An 18,948-nucleotide genomic window follows, 5' to 3' on the forward strand; every position below is an offset into this window, starting at 1 on the left:
ACCAGCAGAAATGACAATATAAGATAAAAAGGGACAGAAATAATGTGAAACAAAAGAAATGACATATTGTGCAAGGGTTAGTTTTACAAAAAGATATGTAATATCATGAAAGATTAAGATGAAGTAGATGCTTTTGCTCGTACACTGATTGGAAAAATAGGATGCTTTTGCTTGTTGCACACTGCTTGGGAAAGTATGGAGTGGCATAAGCTGCATGGTTTATTGTGACACATGCAGAACTGGTCTTTTCTTTGTCATCCTTTGTATGCTGGTTAAACATTTGTTACGCATTTTATCACCATTTAAGCACTTTTCCTATTCACTAACTTAGAAGCAATTGAAGCAATTTTAAATTCTCACTCTGGGAAAATAAAACTGCCATTAGAAGAAAACACATTTACTGTGATTTATTCCTATCAATACATTTTAATTCAAAAATATCTTTTTCTGATTATATCTTCGTTCAATAATTGCAATTACACAGTATGGTTGTTGTTGAAGGAATCAAATATACTTTTTATCTGGTAAACTCACTAAATTTTGTGTCTAAGGTATGGGTTTTATTTATGAGAGTGGTTTCTTTCATTATAAAAATGCAAATTTGCTAATAGTACTCTCTGGTAAACAGATTAGTTTATGAAATTATTGGGTCACCAATGTTGAAGTTAAAATTCAGAAACAGGAATGTCAGAGGGAGGTGGCCAGCAACTGCCTTGGCAAGACCTCATAGGGTCAAATGACCTTCGAGGAGTTTCTCTAGGTCAGTAGCAGGTCCTGAACTATCGTGAGACCAATAATTTGATTTTGTTGATACATCCAGATTTGACCATTTCAAGGAAGTAATTCGTGTTTATTTAAATTCTCAAGGGACTGACCTATAAACCTAGATGCAAATTTATTCCTTTATAATGGTAGACAGAACTTGGGCTATGATGTCAACAGAGCTGGATTCTGATCCACCGTCACCGTTACTTACTATGAGGGAAAATTACTAAATTTCTCTAAGACTCACTACTTGCATCTATAAAATGCAACTGCCATGAATATTAAAAGACATAAATAAAGTACAAAGCCTGGTAGTTAGTGAATGGTGACTATAAGGACGAACTTGATGGTGGTGATGAAAACAAAGAAGGAGAAGGAGGAAAAGGAGAAAAAGCAGGTTGCTGGAATCACGGGGATTAGAAAGCTTACGCTGGAATCAGCATATTTTCTTCCTGAGATCTAAGACAGTCCAAGAGTGAATTAGAAGACACTCAGCTAGCAGAGAATCAGAGCAAAGTTAATTACATGGAATGCTATAAAAACTTGGGCCTTCACACTATGAGGATCTGGTAGGTCCATCTCTATCTTATGGATACATCTGCCTGGCAGAGAGGATAAGTTGTTTTATTCCACCACCAAGAACAGTGCCTGGCAAATGGCAGGCCATTAGTAAATAGTTAATGGATGGACAGGTGGAGTACCCCAATTCATAGGCAGTGCTGCAAATAGTGATAATTTTTTTATCTTTGGTTCACCTATTTCTAGACTCAATAGATGTGTTATTCCCTCCATTTCTCCTCAATCCTCATACGATATGAACACAGAATTCCTTCAGTAACGTAATGAAGTGGTTCATATTTCTTTGTTATATCAATTACATTTAGACATTGTCTAATTAAACTCAAATCATTTTATCATTTACTTCAATCATACTGCCAAATTCTGTAGCTAGATTATATTTATCTTGATCAACTCAGTTTTGGTCACATGATTGAGTTCTAACCAATAGGATGTGTGCACAAATGCTGTACATTTCTTCTAAGCATGGCCATCTTCCTATTTCTGATCTCAAATTTAAGCCCAGAAGGAAGTAAAGCATCCAGTGGTCCTAGGAGACAGTGTACCCAATAAAAGGAAAAGGCCGTGATCTCTGAAGAATCACATGGGGCAGAGAGGGAAAATGGAGCAGGTTCACATTTCTCTTGTTACATCAATTACATTTAGAAATTGTCTAATTAAACTCAAATAATTTTATGATTCACTTCAATCATACTGCCAAATTCTGTAGCTAGATTATAGTTCTCTTGATCATCTCAGTTGTGGCCACATGATTGAGTTCTAACCAGTTAGAATGTGTGCACAAGTGTTGTACATTTCTTCTAAGCATGGCCATCCTCCTATTTCAGATCTCTAATTTCAGTCCAGAAGAATGAAGAGAATCCAGTGGACCAAGGACATGGTGAAGCCAATAAAAAGGAAAAGCCAGGATCTCTGAATAATCACATGGAGCAGATTTTGCCTCCCTCCTCACCATCACCTCTGCACACATAGACCCTTCACTGGACTATGATGAGAATGAAATATACGCCTTCGTTCTGTATTCTGAAAAGAGTTCTATAATCTGTAAGTAGCCCATGTATTATTTGTTGACTGAACAAATGATATAGTTTGAGTACATACACATTACTACCAAAGGACTTAATATATATAATGCATATAGCATATGTGAGCTATTGTTATCACTACCATTTTCTAAATGTATATATTTGTGATTGTGATTAACAAAGTAAAATTTTATCTGAATGTAATTGTTTGCAATATATTTCTCAACTACAGGCTGCTACAATATAACTACTATCATATGCATCGGAGGCTCAACATTTTGATATTAAGAAGGGATCCATACTTAAATATCTAGAGACTACTGCTCAACATTCCAAACTATTTGCAATTCCTTGAATGGACAGTGACATTGATTTTGTATATGTGACAAATTCTTTGGCTTGGCTTGCCCAACCTCTACTCCACATTACTTCATGGGTGCCTTCCTGGGCTGCAGAAGGTAGAAAGCTATCTTTCCCAACTTTTGCGCAAGGGTTCCAGATGCACAAAATAGATGCATTCTTCTAAGACACAGAAATTGAAAATGGGGTTGAGGCCATCTACCTGCCTTTTTCTAGTTGTTTTTTTTTCTACTGGTAAGCAATTTTGCACAGACTGTTTTCTATAACAGAGTTTCTGTGTCCATTTTCTAGCCTGAGTGTTAAGAGGCAGTTGCAGTGGCAGCATCTAGGATGGCTTCCTGATTCTTCATTGGTGGATGGCAAGATATTCTTGGGCTGAATAATTCCAGGACAGTACTATGGTCTTCTGGGAATCATTCCTGGTGGGCCAGTCTATAGCCCATTCTTTTGGCCCTTTCATGATTTTTTTCCTAATTACTTATGGCTTTTAGCCTATTCTTTCTGTCTTAAGATGACTACATTGGTTTCTGTTTTCTGCACTGAACCTTGACTGATACGGGCCTTGGAAAATATTGCTGGGACATGGAATGCATATCCCCTTCTCCCCCGGTCCCTATCCTCTTCTTCTCCTCAGCTCAAGTATCTACTTTTCCCAGACACCTTCACAAACCCCTTCAGCTGAGTCAAATACCTTTCCTTTCTGTTCTAGTCATAATCCTTGATAGCACTTCTCCCTATAGTAATGGTCAGTTATTTGTCTATACAAGTTAACTGGATAAAGCTACATTTTATTAGTCACTTGTCCCCAGGTATGTACACCATAAGAACTTGTGGAATAAATGAATGGATGAACAAATAACAATTAAAAACAAGTAACCAGCCCACAAAGGAGAAAATGAAGAAGCAAGAGAGATGTGTAGTTTTCTTACAAAATGGTACCATGTGCCAGTATATGTAAAATAAGGCAGAGCCGAAATGCCATGAGTCTAGGTATGTTCTCCTTAGTCTCCTAACAAAGAGATCCATATGGTCTAGACCATATGGCAATTTTTTTTCTGTAAAGGAACAGATAGTAAATATTATAGGCTTTGTGACTCACACAATCTCTGTTGCAATTACTCAATTCTACCATCTTCTTAAGAAAGCAGCCATATATAAGGAGGAGAAGAGAAAGCAGATTTAGCCTGCAGGCAGCAGTTTGCCATTCCTTGGTTTAGAAGATTAAGGAAAGGCCTGGGTTTACAGTGTAGACTGACTGATTTTTTTGACTGGATCTTGTATGCATTTCGATTTTTCCCATATGAAATGAAGATGAAAACATTTTACTTATAACATATTTCTGATACTAAACTAATAATGTTTAAAAGCCTTTGAGAGGCGTGCATCATTTGTAAATCTCTTTAAGTTCACAAATAGTGGAATATTTTAAGTATGTGATAGCCAACATTTGATGACAAGGCCTTGAATTTCTACATACACGGCAAAATTGTGGTGAGCAGTATGTGGTAAGAATAAATTATCTCCTTCATTTACAACATAAAAAGTAAAGAGGCCCAAATAATATGTAGATGAATACCATTCCATTTTTGTTCCTATCCAAAAATGGACAAATCACATTAATTGCAATTTTCAATAAAGCAATTGTCAAGAGATTAGTCTTAAACATTATACCTGCTTTAGCTTCTAGAAGAAAACTTTCCTTGGAGTTTTTCAAAGACATGTGGAATTACACAGGGAGAAGGGACACTTTCTCCCACTCCCAATTTACAGATGAGAAAGTCTTGGGCACAGAACTGTCAAAGGACAACTGGTGGCAGGGCTAGAGCAGCTCCTGGTCTTTGAATCCCATTGCAGTGCTCTTCCTACTTTACTAGGCTAACAAAAAATTGTGCTGCTGTTTTAATAAAATTTGCCAAACATTAAACCTAATCATAAATTTATAGTTAAATTGTATGTATCCCTGAGTTGCAAAGGATTTAACTTTGTTATATAAAACATAGTTTTATGTTATATAAACTCTACATTACAGAAAACGTAGAGATATAGCATAAGAAGCTCTAATTTCTCAATTTTAATGATAACATTATCCATCTCTCAAGATCCTGAGAGGTGAAACTGAGGGGGTTGAAGGATGAAGAGTCTGTAACCTTGGAGAATAGAGGGGAGTGAGATCAGAAACGGAAAACAAACAGAAAATGGGTACTACCCAATGGGCAAGTACCACCAAGCTTCCTTATGCTAATTTTCTGTTGCATTTGAGAAATTAAGGCATGACTTCCCAGTTGATTTAGGCATTCTAGCCCCTTACTTTTGCCTAAAATTTCCCAAGTATACTGAGCTCTGCATAATTTCACAAAAAAAGGTATTTCCCATTCCCTCTATGTTTAAGCAACTCAGTGAGGCCTATCCTGACCATTACATTTGAAACTGGATGAAACCTCCACCGCCACACTCAGTCTCCATGTATAATCCTACTCTACTTTTTTTCCCACAATACTAATCCCATTTAGCATACTATGTAACTTATTTGCTATGTTTCTTATCTGTTGTATTTCTCCCGCTAACTAGGGTGTAAACTCCATGATGACAAGGATTTTTGTCTGTTTTGTTCTGTGACTTAAGTAGGCAGAATAGTGTCTTGCACATAATAGGTGTTCAGGAAATATTTGTTGACTTAATAATGAATTTGAGAAAATGAAGAATAGGGAATTAGGAACATCTTGACATGTTACATGGTTACATTTGGAAAGATTTGGACAAGGTGCGCAAAAAGAGTGGGACAATAGAATCATAAGAAGACAACAAAGGTGAACAATTGAGTACCGCTACATGCTAGGGAAAATACTACAGGCTTTATGCCCATTACCTTATTTTTCTCACACAGCTATTATTATTCTCATTTTACAGTTTATGAAACTGAGAGTAGATAACTTGTCTAAGTTCACTTAACTGGTGAGCAGTGAAGCCAGGATTCAAAACCCACATTTATTTGACTTCAAAGGCTATGTGTATAACTACTGCTCTGTAACAGACTATAAGGCCACCCCTGTGGCCCAGACAGTACTAGTGGGAGCCATCTCAGCATATGGGCCTGATTTTATTAAAGTTTATAAATGGACAGGTATCTTTCATCGGACAGGTGTCATCTTTCATTGTAGATTCATGCTGAAGAGATTTTGCTTTCCTGAATTGCAATCTCCAAATTTACCATATAAAGAATGTTACTTCCATTAAAGCTAGAAGGATTTCCTAAAAACATCTTTAATCAAAAGGCAATTAGCATTGTTTTCCCCACCTATCAATCCTCTAAACCAGGGAACTTCAAATATCAAAATGTGTCAAGTTGCCTCAGCAGTAGAAAATGGCTTAGCAGGCTACATACTTGCAGATTCAACATGCTGAGGCAGCATCAGATGTACCTCCGTGGCTCACCTGTCTTTGCCTGTAACTACCTAAGGGTCAGGCAATATAAAGGTAGAGATTATTTCCCTGAATTCATAGGCATTTTTCCCTTTCTCCTCCTTGCCCTCGACTCACACTGGCACTTCTACACATATATTTCTTCTCCATTTATAAACTGGAACTTATTAAAATATGTTTTACCACTTTCATGGTTAACAAATTTCTAGAAACAGAATCAGATAGCAATCAGAGATCAAAATGGATCTGGAGCAGTGAACAGGACAGGAAGGGTCAGGGACATAAGGCTTGGTATGCCAGGGATGTATGAGACTTTAGGGACAGGGATGGGGGAGAGAAAGACCAGCTTTAACAAGTTCAACCATGAAGAGGCTGGAATAAGCCACGGGTTCTCTATGGATACCAATCACACAACTATTAACTTTTGCTTCATCCCCAGCCCTATTCTTCTTATTTTTGGTATGGGGGGTGTTGGGGGGACAGAGTCTTGCTCTGTCACAGAGGCTGGAGTGCAGCGGCGTGATTTTGGCGAATTGCAGCCTTGACCTCCTGGGTTCAAGCTATCCTCCTGTCTCAGCCTCCCAAGTAGCTAAGACTACAGGTGCACACCACCACGCCTGGCTAATTGTACTGTATTTTTTGTAGAGATGAAGTTCCATCATGTTGCCCAGGATAGTCTTGAACCCCTGAGCTCAAGTGATTCTCCCACTTCAGCCTCCCAAATTATTGGGATTACAGGTGTGAGCCACTGCACTCGGCCGTCCAGCCCTACTGTATTTGTTTGTTTGTTTGTTTGTTTGTTTTTGTTTTGTTTTTGAACAGAATCTTGCTCTGTTGCCCAGGCTGAAGTGACTTGACCTCCCAAAGTGCTGTGATTATAGGCGTGAGCCAGGTGCACAGCCGAGTCCTGCTCTTTAGTAAAAAGGATAAGCTTAACAATTTAGCTGTTACCAGAAAAAGCAGAGAAAGACAATTGTTTCTCAAGGCTAGAAGAGAAAGTTAATCATTATTAATCAAGTGATTTGGAAGGGGTTGTTAAGGCATAAAGTACAAAAAAGTTTATGTTCTGTGAAGGTGTCAGGGTATGCCACATAAATATATCACCCAAGTTACTATTTAAGTAATAAGCACAACCTGACCGAGCTTCAGGAGTATAGCTTATTTGTGGAACACCATAATTTGTGTGGTCTAGTCATTCTGAAGCTTAGATGTTCATAAAAATCAGCTGGATTGGGCATTTATTTAAAATTCAGATACTTGCCACATCACGGCCAGGAATTAGAGCTTTTAACAAGTCACCTCCATGATTCTAGTGAACCACACTTTGAAAAATGCTATCATAAGGCTATATGATACTAAGGATGCAATGAAAATTTGGAGCTAAAAATGAGATCTTCTTCTACTAGACACATATTAAGAAAGCTAAATAAGCCCAGGCATGTTGGCTCACGCCTGTAATCCCATCACTTTGGGAGTCTGAGGTGGGCAGATCACTTGAGCCCAGGCATTCCAGACTAGCCTAGGCAACATGGTGAAACCCAGACCATACAATTTTTTTTTTTTAATTAGCTGAGCATGGTGGTACATGCCTGTAGTCCCAGCTACTTGGGAGGCTGAGGTAGGAGGATTGCTTGAGCCCAGGAGGTTGAGGCTGTATGAGCCAAGATCATGCCACTGCAATCTAGCCTGGGCAGCAGAGTGAGACCCTGTCTCAAAACAAAAAAACAAACAAAAAGCTAAATAAGTCAAGTAAAAAATACATAAATACTCTGGATTTCTCCAGTGTTACCTAAATAATTGGGAATACCACTATCTTTTGTAAAGAAAACATAAGTAAATATTTAGTTCATCTCATCCATTGTATAATACTCTGCCACCATATTAAATTTTTAGCAATCTTCAAAGAATGGCCCTCCCAAATCTCTCAAGCATTTTAATTATTATAATTAGAAGATAAAATTTCTATTTATTATCCAGGGCTCCCTATCACTGGGCACTAAACATCACTCTATATCACAAGCCACACTTAACAGCTATTATTTATTGTCAGTGACTGTTTTTATATGCATCATCTTATTTCTCATAATAACCCTTAAGGGTAGGAACCGTTAAAATTCCCATTTTACAGTTTAGGAAACTGAGGCCAAAGCCTTGGCAGAATTAAGAAGCTTGGTCAAGGTCATGTCAGTAGTATGACAGAGCTGGTGTTTGAATCCAGATCTTTCTGACTCCAGAAGCACCAGCTTTTAAGCTCTAAGTAATTCTGCCTCCACTGGGAGCCTTAGTTCATACACACCCTATGAACATGTACAGATAAAGCAAATATCAATACAAATTGCATAGCTTACTGAGGATACACAATCCCAGTAGAATAACAGGTCTATTCCACAAGAAATGACATAAAATCAAAATGTAATTATGCCTCTCCAAAATATAAATAAAAACTAAAATCTACATCAATATCTAGTGTTTGCCATTCTTACCAGACATGCTTTAACTATGGAAATAGTCATTCCTGTTGCCAGCACATGAACTATTTTTTGTTCTGTGTAGCTGCCACCTGAAACCTCCAATGTGTAGTATTTTCTGACATATTTTCTTATAACCACTAACACTTACATTTTTTTGCTGAATATTCCTAATACATTTAGCCTCCTACAGAAATTTCTGAGGCAAGCAAAATAATCTCTCCCAACCACTTACTACTACACACAAACCAAAGAGTTTAAAAAGAATAACAGTGACCACACAAATCAAAAAGGACACATCCCAACATGGAATTTTCTTTCACTTAGAATATAAAGCCAAACTAAAAACCTAAAGATCCTATAATCCAGCTTTTTTTTTTTCCTTAGCTGACTAAAGAAAACCACTTTACTCTTTAAAACAAACCTTAGCACCCTCAGGTCCTGAGGTTTGCTCTTCCACTTTCATATTCCTCTAGCATTGCAAGCTGGTCTGCTCTGCCTCCATCCCTGATTCTGAGGAGTATTTTGTGTTATTTTGGATATTACAGCTGCCTCTGCTACTAGACCATAAGCTCCATTAGCACAGGGATCTGTTTGTTGTCTCTTACAATAATCATAGTACCTGGCACAGGGAAGCCAGGTCATAAATGTTGTTGAATGAATTAATAAGTAAACGACCCATACAATTTAGTGACTTCTAGAGCTTGGTTCTTTCTTCTATGCTCACCATAATAATAGTTCGAGAATTATTGGGTGCCTCTTTCTTCTTTACTTCACTCAGGATTGAAGAGTCACTGTTTTCTCAGATGATCACCAAGTCCTTAGACCAGCTCTTCTCCATTCACACTTTGGAGAGCCCTTCTGAATTGCTAGCTCTCCTCCTGCTGGAGTGATAGAGGTAATTTCCAGTCAATGAAGGCTGGGAGAGCAGATATAGCCTCCAAATTAGGAAGGGAAGCCTAGATGGGGTGGAGGTGCTTTCTGCTGCTTGCCTTTCTCCTCTGAACAAAGTATGACTGGAGAGGAGAAGGAATGGGACTCTACTCAGCAATTAAGGTTTAGAAGGAAGACACACACTAAGTCAGGATGGCCACAGGGGGCCTTGACTCTGCTGCAGCTATGGACTTGGTCATGTCTAGAGTAGATGGGGGTCTGGGCACGGTGGCTCTCATCTGTAATCTTAGCACTTTGGGAGGCTGAGGTGGTGGATCACTTGAGAACAGGAGTTCAGGACCAGCCTGGCCAACACAGGGAAACCTCATCTCTACCCCCCGCCAAAAAAAATTGGCTGGGCGTGGTGGTACATGCCTGTAGTCCCAGCTACTGAGGAGGATGAGGCACAAGAATTGCTTGAACCTGGGAGGTGGAGGTTGCAGTGAGCTAAGATCACATCACTGCACTCCAGCCTGGGCAACAGAGTGAGAACATGTCTCAATAAATAAATAAGATTAAAATAGAGGAGATGGGAACTTAGCGGGCATGAAGACCCCTATTTCTCCACCTGGTGATATGTCCCAGCTGTTGCTGCAGGGGCCTCAGGAGATCTCTTGCTTCTCTTAATTCAGAGTTGTATATTCAGCAAAAGGTTTCCTTAATATTACTTAATATTATTTCCTCTCCCTCTTCTCCTACTCAGGTCACAGTCCTCTTTATTTACTTCTTTCTTCCTTTCCTCCTTCCTTCTATATTGTGACAGGCAAAATTATTCATTTTATTTTTCCTCTGTTCAATGGCACTGGCCATAGGTCAGCACTTTAACAAATTTGTATCAATCTGATAGTTGGAAAGAGAACTTTAGCAATCCAACAGGTTAGTTTTGTTTTTGAAGGAAGAAGATGGTGTTTAAAGAAAAGTGTCAGATGATGGAAAAGGAAAATATCTCTTTCCAAATAGCTCAGTACTTCTAAGTCCTGGAGTCCATTCTTCCATTGTAAAGGGACTTCAGCCTAATTTCAGGAATAGTATTTAATGCCTCCTTTTGGAGCACTGTCACATTGTTCTTTTTAAAGCTTGTCCTTGGCTGGTGTTATGGCTCACACCTGTAATCCCGTACTCTGAAAGGCTGAGGCGGATCACTTGAGCCCAGGAGTTCGAGATCAGCCTGATCAGTGAGACCTCATCACTACAAAATATTTAAAAATTAGCGGAGTGTGGTGGTGTGCACTTGTGGTCTCAGCTACTTAGGAGGCTGAGGTGGGAGGATCACAGATCACTTGAGTCTGGGAGGTTGAGACTGCAGTGAGCTATGATGACACCACTGTACTACAGCCTGGGTGACAGCGTAAGACCCTCTCTTAAAAAAAAAAAGAAAAAAAGAAAAAATAAGGCTTGTTCTTTCTGGTAGGCCACTTGCAACACATTTGCTTTTTGTCAGTAACTCATATAGGTGGGGGTGAGCATAGAGGGGAATTCATACAATAACATCATTTAACTCCCCCCCCTTAGTTTTAGCCCCTTTACCTCAAAACATCATTGTTTTAGTTAACTTCTCAATTGTATGTCCCATCCTACTGCAGGAAAAAGCAGACTTTCTCGCCAACTGTACTTCCTGTATTGCAACTGCACCTTCAGACAATGCTCCTGGCCTATCGCCTATCTCCTGTCTCCAAGCCCTGAAAATCTCACTTCATTTGGGGTTTCAGTTATAGCTTTCAATTACTTGTTTCTTGCTGTAACCTTACCTGTATAATGATTCTAATAAATCCTCCTTTTTCTTCAGCTAGTTTGAGTAGATGACTGTGGAATATAATAGGAAGTTAAAGCGTTTAAAAATTTTTGAGACCACCTAGACACTCAAAATGAGTTCAGATTTCCTACACTCTTGAATGATACCTGAGGGTCTTAAGAAAATATGCAGTTAAGATTGAACTGTTGAACTCCAACAAAAATCCTTTCCAGAACAAGTCAATGAATATAACAAATAAATAAACATATTAAGAAATAATTTATTTCTGAATATTTGCAGATGTAAGTTCAGACCATAAACATTCTGAGTAATTCTAGTTAAATGTCTTGGGGTTGAGGGGGAAAAGGTGAATTCTGGAAATCATAGGACGGTAAAAGAGACATTGAGCCTAGATAAGATTCTAGAAAGTGATATGTAGTAGAATGCCCATTACATCCTCCCATTCCCATGATCACTTTAGAAGACTGTTTCTGCCTACAAACACCAAAAGAGCAGCCCTCCATTACAGGTGAATCCTTGCCCTTCACCTGATGACACTGACACCTAGTGACATAGAGGTGTGTGCTTTTGTTTCCATGCTTAGTTATCTTTAAAGCTCTTGAATTCTGTGAGAAACCCCCAAGAGCTGTACAATTAATTTCCCCCTTTTTAAGGCTTATCTGAGTAGCTTTGTGGCCCTTGAAATTAAATGAAATCTGATAGGCAAGTGAAGGAAAGACCTGTGCATACTTAGAAAAGGATGACATAATCTCTAGAAGCCAGCACAGTGTCACCAAGACTAGCCTAAATTTATATTTCTTTTGTAACAGGGTTAATAAACGATAGCTCAGTTGCATGGTGGCTGTTGGGGATGTTATAGATTTCTCGTTTCCACCTGTCTGGTATCTATTTGCCTTCCTGTCTTACTAGTTCTCTACTTTTACACCGGTAACCAAAAAACCTTCTTTGCATGCAATGTTTTTTTTTTCTATTGTTTTGTTAAAGTTTATTTTTAAAAATATTTGATACATATCACAAAAATAATCTAACATTTATATTCCTTATAAAATGAACATCTGTGAATCCACCAATAACCATAATGTTACCAATACATTGTATCCCTCTAAATATTTCTGTCCTAACTCGACTTCTTGCCTCCTCCCTCACCGCACCTCCTCCCCACACCAGGTAAGCAAGCAAAGTGTCCTCTACTACCCTAGCCAAAGGGTAAGCACCAAACATGGCGAAGCCACTCTCCCACTCTCTTTAGTGGCATGATAAATGCATGGAACAAAGTTTGAGCAAATTCATCATAATGAAGATATTCTAACCTAAAATGATGTCAATACCTGGAGGTGACACTGTTTTTGGGCTTTCTGAGATCTCATTCTCTAGCTTCTTCTTTATTTCTAGGAGCTACCCCATATCCTTCTATAATTTCTTTTTTTTATTTTAATTAACCAGCATTATTAAATACCCCACTTATCAAAGAACTCTCTGATAATATTAGTAAATGCAAATTTCATAAACCCTTTTTGATAAAGCTACATCAAGTATTTTTATAAATGAACTGCAAAAAATATGGATAGGATGAGAGTGAAATTATACAATAATGGTCACCTCTGGGGAAAAGTGGAAGAGGACTGGACCAGGGAAGGTGATTTCAACTGAATGTGCAATGTTTTACCTCTTATAAATAAATCTGAGGCAGTATAATAACATGTTAAGTAGTAATAAAGCTCCTAGGTGGCCGCTACATTATATTATTCTCTATAAATTTCTTTAGGTTTAAATAATAAAAATTTAGGTGAAAATAGGCGACTCTATCATGGCTCAACAACTGTGGCCATGGGAGTGCTGGTTAATAAATCAATGTTAACCAATATATTGGGAGGTGGGTGCTTTTTGGTTCTGCCTTGGACAATGCTTTTAAAAACAACTTGGAAAAACGTAAAGAAGCCATGAAATTTGTGAATGAACCAAGATGCTGAGATCAATAGCAAATGTGTTGAATAAAATGATCGCATACAAAAAGATGTTGGCAAAGTGGAATTATGGGCTGAATCTCACCGGCTTAAAAAAAAAAAAAAGAGAAAGGAAAACTCTACTTTGTGTACTTCGTACATGACAAGCACTGTTTTAAGTATTTTACATATATTACTTAATTATTGTAATAACCTTATAAGGTACATTATTATTACCTCTTTTTTACATGAGGAACTGAAGCAAAGGGAAGTTATATAATTTGTCCAAGTTTACAAAGTTAGTAAGTATTGGATCCAAATACTGACCCATCTTGGTATAACTCCAAAAACTCAGCTCTTAATCACTGTACAATACCAAGGTTAAAAAGGCGTATGCCTCAATATGTCCCAAATAAATGATACAATACACAATGGAGAAGACACGGCTTAACAGCCCACGTTTTAAAAACGTTTTTTGTTTTTGAGAATAAGCACAATATGGGTCAGCAGAGTGATTTGTAACAAAGTGACTGCCAAAAAAACATGCTCTATCTCAAGCTGCATTAATAGAAATATTGTATCAAGGAGCCATGGTCATGCTGTTCTGCACACTGCCTCAGCTCCCACCTGCTCTGTATATCACACATCAAGGAGCACATCCACAAAGACAATAGGCAGGGTTTGAGAGACCAAGAATCAACAATGGTTCCTAGGAAGAAAGTTTTAAGGACTTGGGACTATTAGCTTGGAAAATGGACAACTCAATTCAGGGGGCAGTCATGATAGCTGTCTTCATATATATATATCAAGTGCCACATGGAAGAGGGATTAGATTTTTTTTTGTGGTCTCAAGGGGGTAGAAAAAGAAACAATGTGAAACTTAAAAGGAGAGAAATGATGTTAAAATACCAAAAAGAACTTTGTAGTGGTCAAAACTGTCAGAAGATGAAATAGACTGTCTTGGCAAGAAGAGAGTTCCCAGGATATGGATGTGTCACAGCAGAAGTTCCTTGCTGGGGATGTTGTTGAAGCTTCTAATGGGACCATGGCTAGAAAGACCTCTCTGCTAACGCTAAAGCATACTGATTTGATGATCAACTCCATTAGTGTAAAATCATTGTCCACTTAGAGACCTATTTTTATGGTATGATTCTTAAGTGTCTCCCTGGTCAGTCCCCTCTCCCTTCCTCCAAAAAAAAAGTAGACAGCTTCCAGAATGAGAAGTCTAGGACCTTTGTATTAACCCAACTCTGTTACTAGCTTTATAATATTAAAGGAATAATTTAACATTTCCTCGCTTTAATTGTTTTCATTTATAAAGAAGGTCCCTCTATCTGTCTCACCTACCTCATCTGGATTTTAGTGAGTATGCTAGGCTGTCTCATGTAAAAGTGCTTTAGAAAATTACAACAATATGCAAGTATAATTTATAATGCCTACAATGTAAGTTCTGTTTACCATATATCTGGGACCCCCCCAACCTTTTCTGACACTTCTCTTATCCTTGGATTCTCTCTGAGCTTCCTTAGAATTTATGGCATTTTTGTTTGTTTTTGCTTGTCTTCTTCATTAATTTTACAAATCTTTGTTGTTATTGTTACATGTCAGTCATGTATTAGTTACTGTTCTAGCCACTGTTGGAAAATAAAACCTTGAAGGAGACAACATTTTCCTCAAGGTGTTTGCCATCAAATAAAGATCTCTACCAATACATACATAACATAATGCAAGGCAAGATATTTGAATGCCTTAAGAATAACATAGATAAAATGCTATAAAAGATCACAGGAGAGTGGGAATTCAAAGATGTTTGGCCCCAAGAATCACCCTAGGAAAGCAGGATATTCTCCTCTTTCTTTCTTATCCCCAAGTCTTCTGGGACACCATAGAAGCTGGTTCTCTTCAAGATTATGAATTTCTGCATTGGTGCTAACAAGTGGTCCAACTATCCAAGCTCTAATTTTTACTGCCTTTGCATTGGCTTGAGGAGAAAGGTATGGTTTTCTCTATTTATTTTCCTGTAGAAAGAGAAAAAACACTTTTTCCTATAGAAAGAGAAAAAACGCTGAAGCTCAGCAAGGTCAAGTACAAGTCATAAATTGTTATGTAAGGCAGACCCTCATCATTGTAACTATCTAGAGTTTCAGTGCACAAAACAAGGCCTGTTTCAAAGAGTGATTTATTACAAGTTTGCTTTTTTAGGTGCTTAATAATGCCCACCCAATAAGATGTTTGCTTTATCCTGGGATCAGGCTGACATCTCTTTTATGTGCAGAGATGGTGGAGCTGGTAGAGTGTAGGCTAAAAGGAAATTGCAAACACTGGGCAAGTAAGTTGTAACAGGTTCCATAAACTCCATTTGATATGATAGTTAAGTCCTAGAACACTTTCTGTAAAGCATCTGTCATTGGTTTGTCTGTGTGGAAAGATAAACACGAATAATACTGATTGAACCTTTAGTATATTCCAGGCTGATGCGTTTTATATGTATTGTTTCAATTATGATTATTCCCATTTAATAAACAAGGAAACTGAGTCAAAGTGATTGGGGAATTTTTCCAAAGTTACTCAGCTAGAAAGTGGCACAATCAGGGCCCGGCGCGGTGGCTCACACCTGTAATCCCAGCACTTTGGGAGGCCGAGGCGGGCAGATCACGAGGTCAAGAGATGGAGACCATCCTGGCCAACATGGTGAAATCCCGTCTCTACTAAAAATACAAAAATTAGCCGGGCATGGTGGCGTGCACCTGTAATCCCAGCTACTTGGGAGGCTGAGGCAGGAGAATCGCCTGAACCGGGGAGGCAGAAGGTGCAGTGAGCGGAGATTGTGCCACTGCACTCCAGCCTGGAGACAGAGCAAGACTCTGTCTCAAAAAAAAAAAAAAAGAAAGTGGCAAAATCAGGATTTGTATTAGGATTGTATAAAGAAGTCATATATGAATAAAGAAATAAATTATGTGTAGGCATACATTTAAACAATATATACATTTGTTTATACACATCTAAACACACACTTAAATTTACTTTCCCAAAATTATTTTATGTCACAAAAAATGGCCCATATAAAATAAAATTCAGAAAACAGACAAAGCCATGAGAAGGAGAAGTACGATAATCATGTAAGTTTAGTCTGTGATTGGTCATCAAATGTGAAAACAAAAAGGGAAAAGGGTCGTCCCTTTTTAATGCCATTTTGCCCAAGTAACCAACCATTGTTTTTATTTTCATAACCCTACATTATAAAAATTAAGTAAACTCCATGAAAGCTATGATTTTTTCTGATCATATTTTAAGTTTCGAGCATAACTAGCATTTAAAATTTCTTGGTATTTATTCTCAAATGAGGTAATAAACATTTTAAAAGTATTTCCAAAATGGTAAAATACTACATTAAAGTTAGCTCTAAGCCTCTTTTCCTTACTTAGCAGTGAGGCCCTACGGACCACACAGTAGAATGGAATTCTATTCTATCCCTTCTCCTAGGAGCAGGTAGTTTTCCTTTTCTGGCATCTGACATGCACAAGAGCACATGGAACCCTCTCAATAAATATTCTGCCAAAGAATATTGAAAAATGGCTTATGCTGGAACATGACGCCCAATGGAAATACGGTACCAATATATAATATGTGTTTAAAAAGGTGTCATTCTCTCAATCCGAAGGCCTGTGGACCTAACAATTTTCTAGTAGCAGTAATGACTCATAGGAAGTCACTGCAATACACTTTATGTTCTTCTGCATCAGTCTTGGTCAGTTAGCACCTTGCACTCTCAGAGGTGTCCAAACTGGAATGCAAAGTCCTGGGGCATGTGCTAAGACTCTATCATAGGAATCCACACTTCTATGGACTATAGAAGAAATTAAACTCTTATTTATTTTTTATCTCATGCTTTTAAATTTTGTTTTTGTAAATATATGATTTATAATAATAAATAATAATCTATGCAATGGTGCATTTTTTTTTTCTTTTTTGGTAGAGACAGTGTCTCTCTATCTTGATCAGGCTGGTCTCAAACTGTTGGTCTTGAACTCCTGGCCTCAAGCAGTCCTCCTGCCTTGGCCTTCCAAAGCACTGGGATTACAGGTGTGAGCCACGATGCCTGGTCCAGTGGTGAATTTTTAATGTGTACATGAATATACATATTGAGACTACATGCTCAAACATTTTACTGATAGCAATGTGTGATCTAAAAGTTTGAAGACCGTACCTCTAAATAATTCTGCTAAGCTAAGTGTAATTCAACAAAAATATCTTGTGACCATAAAAATATGAAGAATGTTTTCCTATGGTTGGAGGTTGGGGATAAGAGTGGGGAGTAGGATAGGCTTTTCTATTTTTCACAACATAGTTCTACTAGCAAATAATGCACAACACTTCACTCTGCAATTAAATGTAGCAACTCCTGTCGACTTTTTTTCCTTTTCAAAAAGGAGCACAGTGAAATTCTAAGAAAGTTTTTTTGGTTTTCCCTCCAATTCCCTCTTGCCTCTGAAGTTCATGATTTGGAGGGAAGGGTTGTCAAATTACTCAAAACCTGTGCTGGGTATTAAAAGTCCTCGGTTTAAGTTCCTTCTTCATTATCATTCTGTGCAATATGGAGCAGGCTATATAACTTGTCCCTGACTCATTTCTCCTATGGGTAAACTAGAGGTGATAATACTTAGCACTGACCTCAGAGCAGTGTAGTGTGGATAAAGAACATTTTGTTCCTTGTGTCAACTAAATGAAACTGCCATTAATAGACTTTTTTTTTTTTTTTGAGACGGAGTCTCGCCCTGTCCCCCAGGCAGGAGTGCAATGGTGCAGTCTGTACTCACTGCAACCTCCACCTCCTGGGTTCTAGTGATTCTCCTGCCTCAGCTTCCCGAATAGCTGGGATTACAGGTGCCACCACTACGTTCAGCTAATTTTTGTATTTTTAGTAGAGACGGGGGTTTCACCGTGTTGGACAGGCTGGTCTCGAACTCCTGACCTCAGGTCATCCACCCGCCTCCATCTCACAAAGTGCTGGGATTACAGATGTGAGCCACCGCGCCCACCCCTAATACAAACTTTGATATTATCTGTTTAAAATGCTGTGATTGGCTGGGCGCTGTGGCTCATGCCTGTAATCTCAACACTTTGGGAGGCCGAGGCAGGTGGACCACCTGAGGTCAGGAGTTCGAGACCAGCCTGACTAACATGGTGAAACTCTGTCTCTACAAAAATACAAAAATTAGCCAGGCATGATGGCAGGTGCCTGTAGTCCCAGCTTACTCGGGAGGCTGAGGTGGGAGAATCTCTTGAACCCGGGAGGCGGAGGTTGCAGTGAGCTGAGATCACGCCATTGAACTCCAGCCTGGGCTACAGGGTTAGACTCCATCTCAAAAATAAAATAAAATAAAATGCTGTGATTTTTTATATACTTTTCCTTTTAAAAATGATTTTTCTAAAAAAATAAACATCACATTTCTAAATACCACTTTGTTTTCTGAACTTTTTAAACTTTTCTGATTTTGTTTCTCTTTCTCCCTCTTACACAGGAGTGCTCACATGCACACATACACTCTTTTAACAACTTTATGGATGCGAGAGAAAAACCTTAAGACAGCATCAAGGAAATAAAAGGGGAACTGAAATAAGTTGCCCTAGTTGGGTTTTCTTTAAGTTTTAAAGCTACTTACCTAGGCCATAAAATCGTAGTGTTTATGTAATCTCCAAAA

This window comes from Homo sapiens, chromosome 3 (assembly GCF_000001405.40).
Source record: "Homo sapiens chromosome 3, GRCh38.p14 Primary Assembly".
Classification (NCBI taxonomy): Eukaryota; Metazoa; Chordata; class Mammalia; order Primates; family Hominidae; genus Homo; species Homo sapiens.